This window comes from Homo sapiens, chromosome 8 (genome assembly GCF_000001405.40).
Source record: "Homo sapiens chromosome 8, GRCh38.p14 Primary Assembly".
Classification (NCBI taxonomy): Eukaryota; Metazoa; Chordata; class Mammalia; order Primates; family Hominidae; genus Homo; species Homo sapiens.
Genome location: NC_000008.11, coordinates 120,395,147 through 120,408,266, shown reverse-complemented (window position 1 = coordinate 120,408,266; position 13,120 = coordinate 120,395,147). Strand labels below are relative to the sequence as shown.

The following is a 13,120-nucleotide window of genomic DNA, read 5'->3' as shown; positions in this document are numbered from 1 at the left end:
CATTTGGCAAAAATTTTCAACAATCTTACAGGTTTAGTTTATTTAAAAGTATGTTGATCTGTAGGTCTGGATCTGAAAGGGAAGAAACAAAAAAGAATAATCAAGAAAGGATTTAAAAAAACATTTTATTTAAATGTATGTTGAGCTTTTTCGGATCAGGATGGTGCTACAGTGCCTAGGAAAATTAGTATTAAGGCACCATTACTTTACCTCTCAGTATAGCTAGCATCTTTAAAGAATATGTGATGTCACCAGATTTCCTGAAATGGTTTATTCTAAATAATTTCATTCATTCAATGGAAGTGACTTAAAACTCAAACTGACCTTTTATCGCTTTTAAGATTAGTTCACCATCCAAATATTATTTTAGTCTTTTAAATGTTTCATAGAATAAGCATTATACTAAGAAATATTATGTAAGAGTGAAAAGACATAAAACCTATTGAAGAAAAAAATTTTTTTGAGATTTATTACACTTAAGCTACACTCAATTTCCTGGACTTACAGCTGAAATAGGGAATTTTTTTACTTGAAAAATAAATTATTCTTAGTAGGACCAATAATGTATTTTTTGTTTTGTTTTGTTTTGTTTTGTTTTGTTTTGTTTTGTTTTGTTTTAGATGGAGTTTTGCTCTTTTTGCCCAGGCTGGGGTGGTGAAATGGCGCGATCTCGGCTCACTGCAACCTCTGCCTCCCGGGTTCAAGCAATTCTCCTGCCTCATCCTCCCAAGTAGCTGGGATTACAGGAGCCCGCCACCACGCCCAGCTAATTTTTTGTATTTTTTGTAGAGACTGGGTTTCACCATGTTGGCCAGGATGGTCTCGATCTCTTGACCTCATGATCTGCCCACCTCGGCCTCCCAAAGTGCTGGGAAGTAGGACCAATAATGTTAAGTGTCACTTATCTTAATGTAGCATAAACCATGTGCTTCATAACTTGATGTTTTGTTTCATTCACAACCAAGTAAATTTTTCCTACCATTTTATAATACAAACTAAAATCTCCGAAAAGTTTTTTCCTAATGTTAAGAGGTGAGAAATTACTCCATTTTCAAGATAATATAAATGTTTTGACTTCTGTCATTTCTGAATTCTGAATTTGAATCTGCTTTTTTGATATGTGCTTATTTCATCCTAATGAGTAGCAGTATTTTGCTTGTTTCATCTAATGAGTAGCAGGCAGTGTTTTGCATAGGGATGCGTATGGTAAAGAATTTGCTATAGGAAACAGAATGATGTGGCATGTGGTGTGATTTTAACTGTTTTTGAGCAGTCACAAGCACCAGAGAATATTTTCTACAACTCAGATGAGGCTTTTTAAAGTTCTGTTTTCTCACTCAAAATGTAATACTATTTTCGAAAGTTACTTTGTATAAAGGCAGTTTTTGCTAGTGACAAGTATCTGCAAAATAGATAGTTGTTACAGAACATTTGATAGCTATGGAAAGTTTAGCACAATTTAGAGAATGAATTAAGGAAAGTTTTATGTTAGCTATTTCTTAGATGATTCATTAATCTCCCAAGTATATTTTAAGCACATAAATGAAAATTTAAAACTTTCGTCTTTCACTTCAAAGATCAAAGCTTGTGTGTGTTTCATATATTTTTATATATAAGTATACTATATATAAATTGTATATAAAATATATATCATAGCTGTATTAGATAACAATTACACACACACACACACACACACACACACACACACACATGCACACATATATAATCCACTGTTAGAAACTGCTTTATAAAGATGAGGACTGGGTCCTGCTCACTACTTTATTCCCGGCGCCCACAGCAGGACCTGACCAGTCAATTTGTTGAATAAATGAATGCATGAATGGAATCATATCCTCCCTGAAAGGGAAATTGATGTTCAGTTCATGAAGTGTGATAAATTCATGTTTTGGGTTTTGCTCCTTACTTAAATCTTGTCTAACTATAACTAAAATAGACATTTTTCTTAACAGGCCTTACTTTAATGCAACTCTAATATATACAATTTTGGATACTTTGTATTACATGTCTAAAGAACAATCATGGTAATTTCATTAAAATACAACTTATATTTCTGTCAAGGAGTAAATTTGTATAATTTATATGAAAAAAATTGACAGGTGTTAGCTTTCAGAAATGGCATTTGAAATATCCCTCTAAAGATTTCCTGTGATTATTTTAGAATACTGTTATTATTTACAAATATATTAACCTTATATAACATTAACGCACATTTTAAAACTACATAATTTGTTATTTCCAATGAAACAGTGACAAAGAAGTAGGGCTAATGTACAATATACATTCACCTATCATCCCTCTTTTAAAAGATTAAGCCGTTTCATTTAAGTTTCAAATATTTAAGCATTCATAGTATGAAAAGTAATGTGCTAGATGCCACCCTTCTTGTTTTTAAAAACTATTTAATCTAGTGAAGAGATTAGGTCACCTCAGCACAAAATAGGGTATGTAAGCAACATAATCTGAGAATTCAATTCTAGTTTGCATGTTACCATATATGGGTTACCAACTTTTAAAGAACCTAAATACATTTGCTGAGTACTAAAGCTGCTTGAACTACAGTTTGGGAGAAAAGAACCAGGAAAGATACTGTGTATCAAATGGAGTCATCTCTAGTTTAGGAAGAAGTATGTGTGTTACCTTCTGTTAGATAGTATTAGTAATTTCTTACTGAAGGTGCTCCTCTGTCTTATAAATAGCTCTGTCTTTGGTCTAAGGGGAACCCATGCTAATTAGAATGTGGTCCATAAACCAGCAATGCATCAAGTGGGAACTTGTTAGGATTGCCAAATCGTGAGCCCCTCCACAGAATAAGTGAAATCAGGACCTGCATTCTCATAAGAATCCAAGCAATTTGTATGCCTGCTGAAGTTTGAGAAACACAGACATAAATAGCCCTCTCCTCCCCTTTCTTATATTACCTTGAATTTCGTTGTTTTAGTGGAAAGGAATAAGCAATACAGAAAAGTTGTGTGTATGCTTGTTTTCATTTCTGTTTGAGACAGAGAGAAGTAAAACCATATTTAGTGTAAAAACCTCTCTTTTCCCCACAGGGGAACCTCCTGAAAAATGTGTATCATTAATTGCCTCCAGTATGAGTTGATGTTTCCAGCTGTGCCACTATCTTAACTATCTAGTCTTTGGCCATGATACTGCTTTTCCCCCTTTGGAAGCAAATTAACCATCTGGAAAATATCCCGATTATTTAAAGATGAATTTGCACATGAAGTGGCATTTTCAAGGGGGTCACTGTACTCTGTACTGTGCTCAGATATACTAGGCATCCACTGTGTATCAGGCATTACCGTGGCTGCTGGGAGTATAAGATAATCATATCAGGGCCCTGCCTTCAAAGGACTGGCAGCCTAAGAGGCATCATATAGAATAAAATGGTGCTTGCAAGCACCGGAGTCAAATTGTTTACACTCAGATCCCTGCCATCTACCTCCTAGCTGTGTATCCTTAGCCAAGTTACTGAGCTACTCTGAGCCTAAGTTTTGTCACTGTAGAATGAAACTAATAACAGTGTCTTTCTTACAAAGTAGTTGTGAGGATAAAATAATTCATGTGAAGTCTTTATTATACTTTGTGGCATCTAATGAGCACTCAGCATGTGTTATTTACAAGGAAGAGCCAGTATGATTAGAGAAACATTGTAGTAGAAGCATGCATTAAGCTTTCTGGCAATCCTAGAGAAAGGAGCCCAGTCTGTGTTAGAAAGGAATTGTTGTGAAGAGCTTGACAGAAAATGTAACGTTTGAGGTGGATTTTGAAAGATTAGTCATGGTTGCCAGGCAGAGAAAAGACAAAGAGGAAATTTGCTTTGAGGTCAATGTCCACATTCCTTTATGTGGTGGATTATACCATTCAATTTTACTTCTAAATTCCACTGAAAGGTGGTATTGTCATTTCATTTCAATTAAATAAATTAACCTTTTGTGTGGAAACAACTGGTGACTGTGACTAAACACATTTAATTCTATTGAGTGGAGTTGCAGACTTCTTGTGGGGCATTAACTTAGATTTCTTTCCAATTGCATTACCACCACCTCTTTTGTAATTATATGAACCAGCTGGATAGGATAATAAATTGTTTCTTAAAATGTACTGGTGTCTCTTTACTAAGAACTGCTTTGCGTATATTGAGTCACATACCAAAGGAGAAAAGGGTATATTCTGGAGCCGCGTGTAGCTGTCATCAGATTGTTATTTCCCAGACTTTGGATGCAGTTTTTATGTTTGGATAGAGATTTCACAAACAAAGTGACAAAACTCTGCAGTTTATCTTCTTATTGTTATAGATGGCTGATATGGCAAAGCATACCTGGCTAGTTTCCCAGATCAGTGCCTTTGTTGCTCAGAGTTTAATAATAAACAATTTAAAATTCTAGTAGAGTTATTTTACTCAGCTGGTAGACTGTCAGTCTTCTTAGGTAGGCTATGGGGTATCCTGTGAGTATTCAGTTTCAGAAAACATTTATAAATTTATAAATATAGAAAAGGACTAGTAGATTAAGTTGTTTTTGGGCAAACAAAGTCATCTACTTTTTAAAGGAACTCAAACTATTACATATTTTTACAGGTGTTTTCAAAATATTTATTTTCTTGAACATTTATTTTAAGTTCCAGGGTACACGTGCAGGTTGTACAGGTTTGTTACACAGGTAAACATGTGCCATGGTAGTTTGCTGCACAGATCAACCCATCTCCAGCATCCATTCGCTATTCTTCCTGACGGTCTCCCTCCCCCAACCCCTCCTAACAGGCTGCATTGTGCGTTGTTCCCCCCAACCCCATGTGTCCATGTATTCTCATCTTTCAGCTCCCATACGTGAGAACATGTGGTGTTTGGGTTTCCGTTCCTACATTAGTTTGCTGAGGATAATGGCTTCCAGCTCCATCCATGTTCCTGCAAAGGACGTGATCTCATTTCTTTTTATGGCTGCATAGTATTCCATGGTGTATATATACCACATTTTCTTTATCCAGTCTGGGAATTTGGGTTGATTCCATGTCTTTGCTATTGTGAATAGTGCTGCAATGAACATACACATGCGTTTGTCTTTATAATAGAATGATTTATATTCCTTTGGGTATATACCCAGAAATGGAATTGCTGGGTCAAATGGTATTTCTACCTCTAGATCTTTGAGGAATTGCCACACTGTCTTTCACAATGGTTGAACTAATTTACCCTCCCACCAACAGTGTAAAAGTGTTCTTTTTCTCCACAACTTTGCCAGCATCTGTTGTTTCTGGACTTTTTAATAATTTCCATTCTGACTGGCATGAGATGGTATCTCAGTTGTGGTTTTGATTTGCATTTCTCTAATGATCAGTGATGTTGAGCTTTTTTTCATATGTTTGTTGGCCTCATGAATGTCTTCTTTTAAGAAGTGTCTGTTCATGTCCTTTGCCTGCCTGCTTTTTAATGGGGTTATTTTTTCTTCTAAATTTGCCTAAGTTCATTGTAGATGCTGGATATTAGACCTTTGTCAGATGGATAGATTACAAACATTTTCTCCCATTCTGTGAGTTGCCTGTTGACTCTGATGCTAGTTTATTTTGCTGTACAGACGCTCTTTAGTTTAATTAGATCCCATTTGTCAATTTATGCTTTTGTTGTAATTGCTTTTGAAATTTTTGTCATGAAATCTGCCCATGCCTATGTCCTGAATGGTATTGCCCAGATTTTCTTCTAGGGTTTTATAGTTTGGGGTTTTACATTTAAGTCTTTAATTCACCTTGAGTTAAATTTTGTATTAGGTGTAAGGAAGGGGTCCAGTTTCAGTTTTCCACATATGGCTAGCCAGTTTTCCCAGCACCATTTATTGAGTAGAAAATCCTTTCCCCATTGCTTGTTTTTGTGAGGTCTGTCGAAGATCAGATAGTTGTAGGCATGTGGTCTTATTTCTGAGTTCTCAATTCTGTTCCATTGGTCTATGTGTCTGTTCTTGTACCAGTACCACACGATTTTGGTTACTGTAGCTTTGTAGTATAGTTTGAAGTTGGGTAGCGAAGTGCCTTCAGCTTTGTTCTTTTTGCTTAGGATTGTCTTGGCTATTTGGGCTCTTTATTGGTTCCATATGAATTTTAAAATAGTTTATTCTAATTCTGTGAAGAATGTCAATGGTAGCTTAATGGGAATAGCATTGAATCTGTAAATTACTTTGGGCAGTATGGACATTTTCACAATACTGATTCTTCCTATCCATGAGCATGGAATGTTTTTCCCATTTGTTTGTGTCCTCTCTGATTTCCTTGAGCAGTGGTTTGCAGTTCTCCTTGAAGAGGTCCTTAATTTCCCTTGTTAGCTGTATTCCTAGGTATTTTATTCTTTTGTAGCAATTGTGAATGGGAGTTGATTTATGATTTGGCTCTCTGCTTGCATGTTGTTGGTGTATAGGAATGCTAGCAATTTTTGCACATTGATTTTGTATCCTGAGACTTTGCTGAAGTTGCTTATCAGCTTAAGAAGCTTTTGGGATGAAACGATGGGATTTTCTAGATATAGGGTCATGTCATCTGCAAACAGAGGTAATTTGACTTCTCTCCCTATTTGAATACCTTTTATTTATTTCTCTTGCCTGATTGCCCTGGCCAGAGCTTCCAGTACTGTGTTGAACAGGGGTGGTGAAAAAGGGCATCCTTGTCATTTGCTGGTTTTCAAGGGTAATGCTTCCAGCTTTTCGCCATTCAGTATGATATTGGCTGTAGGTTTGTCACATATGGCCCTTACTATTTTGAGGCATGTTCCTTCAATACCTAGTTTATTGAGAGTTTTTAACATGAAAGGATGTTGAATTTTATCAAAGGCTTTTTCTGTGTCTGTTGAGCTGATCATATGGTTATGTCTTTCGTTCTTTTTATGTTGATGAATTACATTTATTGATCTGCATATGTTGAACCAACCTTGCATCCTGGGGATGAACCTGACTTGATTGTGGTGGATAAGCTTTTTGATGTGCTGCTGGATTCAGTTTGCCAGTGTTTTATTGAGGATTTTTGCATCGATGTTCATCAGGCATATTGGCCTGAAGTTTTCTTTATGTTGTTGTACCTCTGCTAGATTTTGGTATTAGGATTATGCTGGCCTCATAAAATAAGTTAGGGAGGAGTCCCTTCTTTTGAATTTTTTAGAATAGTTTCAGTAGCCATGGTACCAGCTCTTCTTTATACCTCTGGTAAAATTCAGCTCTAAATCTGTCTGGTTGTGGGTTTGTTTTTTGGTTGGTGAGCTATTTATTACTGATTCGATTTCAGAATTATGGGTCTATTCAGGGATTTAATTTCTTCTTGGGTCAGTCTTTGGAGGGTTTTTGTATCTAGGAATTTATCCATTTCTTCCAGATTTTCTACTTTATGTGTATAGAGCTGTTTATAGTATCCTTGCATGGTGGTTTGTATTTGTGTGGGATCAGTAGTGATACCCCCTTATCATTTCTGATTGTGTCTGATTCTCCTCTCTCTTCTCCTTTATTAGTCTAACTAGCAGTCTATTTTTTTTATTTATTTATTTATTTATTTATTTATTTATTTATTTATTTATTTTCCAAAAAACCAGCTCCTGGATTCATTGATTTTTTTTTGAAGGATTTTTCTTGTCTCTGTCTCCTTCAGTTCTACTCTGATCTTGGTTATTTCTTGTCTTCTGCTAGCTGTGTTTGCTCTTGGTACTCTAGTTCTTTTTGTTGCAATATCAGGTTGTTAATTTGAGATCTAAGTAGCTTTTTGTCGTGGGCATTTAGTGCTACAAATTTCCCTCTTAACACTGCTTTAGCTGCGTCTCAGAGATTCTGATATGTTGTCTCTTCATTCTCATTAGTTTCAAAGAACTCCTTGATTTCTGCCTTAATTTCATTATTGACCCAGGAGTCATTCAGGAGCAGATTGTTCGGTTTCCATATAGTTGTGTGGTTTTGAGTGAATTTCTTAGCCTTGAGTTCTAATTTGATTGCACTGTGATCTGAGAGACTGTTATGATTTCAGTTCTTTGCATTTGCTGAGAAGTGTTTTACCTTACTGTGATCAGTTTTAGAGTAAATGCCATGTGGCAATGAGAAGAATGTATGTTCTGTTGTTTTGGGGTGCAGAGTTCTGTAGATATCTATCAGTTCTGTTTGATCCAGAGCTGAGTTCAGGTCCTGAATATCTTTGTTAATTTTCTGTCCCAATGATCTGTCAAATATTGTCAGTGGGGCATTAAAGTCTCCCACAATTATCATGTGGGAGTCTAAGTCTCTTTATAGGTCTCTAAGAACTTGCTTTATGAATCTGCGTACTCCTGAATTAGGTGCATATATATTTAGGATAGTTAACTCTTGAATTGAACCCTTTACCATTATGCAATGCCCTTCTGTCTTTTTTAATTTTGGTTGGTTTAAAGTCTGTTTTGTAAGAAATTAGGATTGTAGCCCCTGCTTTTTTCTGTTTTCCATTTGCTTGGTAAATTTTCCTCCATCCCTTTATTTCGAGCCTATGTGTGTCTTTGTTCATGAGATGGGTCCCTTGAAGACAGCATACTGATGGGTCTCAACTCTTTATCCGGTTTGCCATTCTGTGTCTTTTAATTGGGTCATTTAGCCTATTTACATTTAAGGTTAATATTGTTATGTATGAATTTGATCCTGTCATGATGCTAGCTGGTTATTTTGCAGACTTGTTTATGTGGTTGCTTCATAGCATCACTGGTCTGTGTACTTTAGTGTGTTTTTGTAGTGGCTGGTAATGGTTGTTCCTTTCCATATTTAATGCTTTCTTCAGGAGCTCTTGCAAGGCAGGCCTGGTGGTGACGAATTCCCTCAGTATTTGTTTGTCTGAAAAAGATCTTATTTCTTCTTCACTTATGAAGCTTGGTTTGGCCAGACATGAAATTCTGGGTTGGAATTTCTTTTCTTTAAGAATGTTGAAAATTGGCCCCCAATCTCTTCTGGCTGGTAGGGTTTCTACTGAGAGGTCCACTGTTAGTCTGACTGGTTTCTCTTCGTAGGTGACCTGGCCTTTCTCTCTGGCTGTCCTTAACATTTTTTCTTTTATTTTGACCTTGGAGAATCTGAAGATTATGTGTCTTGAAGTTGCTTTTCTCATGGAGTACCTTACTGGGGTTCTCCGGATTTCCTGAATTTGAGTTTTGGCCTGTCTTGCTAGGTTGGGGAAGTTCTCCTGGATGATAATCTTGAAGTATGTTTTCCAACTTGGTTCTGTTTTCCTTGTCTTTTTCAGGTACCCCAATTAGTCATAGGTTTTTACATAGTCCCATATTTCTTGGAGGTTTTGTTCATTCCTTTTCATTCTGTGTGTGTGTGTGTGTGTTTGTGTGTGTGTGTGTATTATTGTCTGCCTGTCTTATTTGAGAAAGATACTTGGTCTATTCTGCTATTAATACTTGTGATTGCATTATGTATTTCTCATGTTGTATTTTTCAGCTCCATCAGGTCAGTAATGCTCCTCTCTAAACTGGCTATTCTGGCTGTTGGCTCCTGTATTGTTTTATCATGATTCTTAACTTATTTGCATTGGGTTACAGCATGCTCCTTTAGCTCAGTGAAGTTCATTATTACTCACCTTCTGAAGCCTACTTCTGTCAGTTCAGCCATCTCAACTTCAGCCCAGTTCTGTGCCCTTGCTGGAGAGGTGTTGCTGTCATTTGGAGGAGAAGCAGCACTCTGGCTTTTAGAGTTTTCCAGGTTTTTGCATTGATTCTTTCTCATCTTTGTGGGCTTATCTGTCTTAGATTTTTGAGGTGGCTTACCTTTCAGTGGGGTTTTGTGGGGTCTTTTTTGTTGATGTTGTTGTTGTTACTTTGTTTGTTTGTTGTTTTTCTTTTAACAGTCAGACCACTTTTCCGTAGGACTGTTGCAGTTTGCTGGGGGATTGCTCCAGACCCTAGTTGTTTCAGTTTTTACCTTACCTGGAGGTATCACCAGTTAAGGCTGCAAAACAGCAATGATGGTAGCCTGTTCCTTCCTTTGGGAGCTCTGTCCTAGAGGGGTACTGACCTGTTGCCAGCCCAGACACTCCTGTAGGAGTTGTCTAGAGACCCCTGTTGGGAGGTCTCACCCAGTCAGGAGAGACAGGATCAGGGACCTGCTTAAAGCAGTCTGGCTGCTTTTTGGTAGAGTAGGTGTGCTGCACTGTGGGGATCCCATCCCCATCCGGACTGCTTCAACTGTCCAGAGCCAACAGTCTGGAAAGGCTGTGTCGACTGAACTGCTTAGATGTTGGCCACCCCTCCCGCCAGGGGCTCCATCCCTGGGAGGGATCAGAGATCTGTCTGTATAACCCTGGCTGGAGTTCCTGAAATTCCTGGAGTTGCTGGTGCTCACTGGCACCAACTGGTGAGGAGGGATGGATCGGGGTCCCACTTAAAGAAAAAGTCTGGCCACAATCTGGCACAGCAGCTATGCTGCATTATGGTAGACTCCTCCTTGTCTAGACTGCCTGGACTCCCTGGAGCTGGCAGGCTGGAATGGCTGTGTCAAATGAACTGCAGAAACAGGGGCCGTCTCTCCCCAGGGCTCTATCCCAGGGAGAGATCAGAGTCCTGTTCATATAACCCTGGCTAGAGTTGTTGAAATTCCTGCAGGGAGGCACCACCCAGTGAGGAGGGATGGATTAGGGTCCCACTTAAAGAAGCAGTGTGGCTGTGATCTGGCACAGCAGCTGTGTTGCATTGTGGGCGACTCCTCCTTGTCCAGTGGACTCCTTGGAGCTGGCAGACTAGAATGGCTGAGTCGACCTAACCACAGAAATGGCAGCTGCCCCTCCCCCCAGGAACTTGTCCATCTCAGGCAGTCTCCAGCCTGTTGCACTGGTTGGCTGGATTTCCAATCCAGTGAGGCTTAACTTGTGAGATGCCATGGAAGTGGGGCCCGCAGAACAACACCGCTTGGCTCCCTGGATTCAGCTCCCTTCCTTGGAGAATTTATGGATGGATCTCCTGCCTTACCGGGATTCCTGGGGCTAGAGTCTATTAAACTCCTGGGTCTCTGTGTGAGCCTGAGCAACTGCTCTGCCAAGACTCTGCACAGCTCTGTGTATTGGACCCAAGGCCCTGGTGGTGTGGGCTCACGAGGGTATCTCCTGATCCACAGGCTGCAAAGATCCGTGAGAGAAACGTGGTTTCCCAGGTGGGGGTCACACAATCACTCACTGCTTCCCGTGGCTGGGAGTGGGGGTTTCTTTGGCTCCATGCCACTCCCAGGTGGGCAGTCACTCCATCCTGATTTCCTTAGTTCTTTCTCCATGGGTCGAGTTGTCCGCCTAGTCAGTCCCAATGTGAAAACCTGGATATTTCAGTTGAAGGTGCTGAATTCACTTGCCATTTTCATTCCTCTGGGAGAACTGCAGACCACAGCTGCTTCTAATCAGTCATCTTTGCCAAAATATCTGTTTAGTTTGTTACCAACTTCCTTCAGAAAATTCCATATGGAAACCCAACACCTACAAATACACTTTTGAAAAGATAACAGGACAAATTGTTTGCATTTTATAATTTCCTATGTTTAATTTTGTCTATTGTTATAATTTAATACTTCTGAAAAATTTTTTTAATTGACTAATGAAAGCAGCTCTCAGGTGTGGTTAATCTTATAATTGCATAAATAAGGAAAACCAGTTATGTTTGTAAATAAATATTAAAGGACTGATGTTTATACACTTATTTTGTATATGGATCATAATGAAAATTAAATTTAGCATATGATAATATAAATAGGAAAAATCACTTACTCAAAATTTGCATTTGTACTATAAATCCATGTCTTCGTATGATTTTTAAACTCTTAAAGATTATAGTAATCTTTTCAATAAGGACTTTATAAAAGTTTAAAAATGGAACAGAGAAATTGAATTCAAATTATTAAGTTACTAAATACATTCTTATATAGGCACAAGGTGGCTTATATTTATACTTTCAAAAAGACTTTGGAGTTGTCACTTAACTGTTCTACTTTATAAAGATTTGATGTTAATGTTTTTTTTTCACCAAAAATTTAGATATAGTGTTTGTAGCTATTTCTTGGTGAACAGTTATTTTTATTTTAAATTGGAAAAATAATCCTCATCAGTCAGGAGAAAACAAAATAATGATTCATGAAGAAATATGTTGATTTTTTCTTTCAGACCTGAAGATTATCGGCTATAAGAGAATAAGAATTGCAGAAAATAACAGTGAAGTGATTGAAACTTTCTTCTGATGAGTTTCTCTAACCTACAGGATGGAGTAAAACAACTGCTACAGTTCAGCACCTGTTTTATGTGCCGAATCACTGTGGGGAAAGGTCAGGAAGGTATAGTCCTTCAATAGGAAATTGTAATTAAAATATAATTTTATAGAACCATTTTTATGTAATCTGATTTGAATGTTATAGTTGATAATAATAAAATCACTTACTTGGTTGACTATTTAGTGTTGCATTTAATGATAAAAAACAGACCCTGTGTATAGAATTGCAGTTACACATTCCAAAAATGCCTCTCCATGCAGATTTTCTCAAGTTTGCAGGTCACTATTCTTGTCCCTTGTGAACAAGCTCTACCTTCACTTTTCATTTCAGTGGCTTTTTTTATCTAACTTGTCATCCATCTAAATTCATATTTGCAGCTTAGTAGGGTAAAGTTTGCCCTGAAATATTTATAAACTGCTATCTTTTTCTGTGTCCCATATAGCCTCTTGGCCCCACAATGACACCAGAATACATAATGCCTGTCTGCTCGTTAGAAATCCCTCTTCCCTGCCAGTGATTCTGTTTGTAGACTCTCCACACTGTTTTCCCATATCTGTCCTGTTGGCTTCCATTCATCTCTGTACTGGCACTTAGATTGGGGTGCTGGGATGACTATTGCTTGTAAAATATGCTCTCTAGAAATTAAGATACTGAGCCACTGCATTTGAGCATTTTCATGGTGGTATTTTTTCATCTCTTGCCATAGCCAATCAAGGAATGAATTTCAGACCAACTTTCCCATTCATTCAGCAAACATATATTCAGTACTGCTATATACCAGGCACAGTGCTAGGTCCTGGGAAAACAGAAATCATACAAGTTGCCCCCAACACTTCCGTGCCCCATCAAAGAGTCTATTGTAGGATGGGAAGGAA

The 13,120-nt window shown here is 37.9% G+C and overlaps 1 protein-coding gene across 1 annotated transcript in view, besides 2 other annotated features; it reads left to right on the top strand.

The window, feature by feature from the left end:
* MRPL13 (mitochondrial ribosomal protein L13) overlaps positions 1–12,830 on the top strand; it is a 49,714-nt gene extending 36,884 nt beyond the window's left edge. The window contains exon 7 of the mRNA NM_014078.6: positions 12,142–12,830. Coding sequence (NP_054797.2) covers positions 12,142–12,163 — 22 coding nt within the window. The 3' untranslated portion in view covers positions 12,164–12,830. The remainder of the gene's footprint in view (positions 1–12,141) is intronic.
* Positions 10,372–10,871: an enhancer, noted in NCBI's record as "H3K27ac hESC enhancer chr8:121409635-121410134 (GRCh37/hg19 assembly coordinates)". NCBI's record gives its function as "activates a minimal SCP1, AML or CMV promoter by ChIP-STARR-seq in naive H9 embryonic stem cells {active_cell/tissue: H9 hESC(naive)}" and the evidence as "EXISTENCE:reporter gene assay evidence [ECO:0000049][PMID:30033119]".
* Positions 10,896–11,084: a silencer, noted in NCBI's record as "fragment chr8:121409422-121409610 (GRCh37/hg19 assembly coordinates)". NCBI's record gives its function as "represses an EF-1alpha promoter that drives an FKBP-Casp9 reporter gene in an ReSE screen in HepG2 liver carcinoma cells and K562 erythroleukemia cells {active_cell/tissue: HepG2 | K562}" and the evidence as "EXISTENCE:reporter gene assay evidence [ECO:0000049][PMID:32094911]".
* Positions 12,831–13,120: the final 290 nt, after the last annotated feature.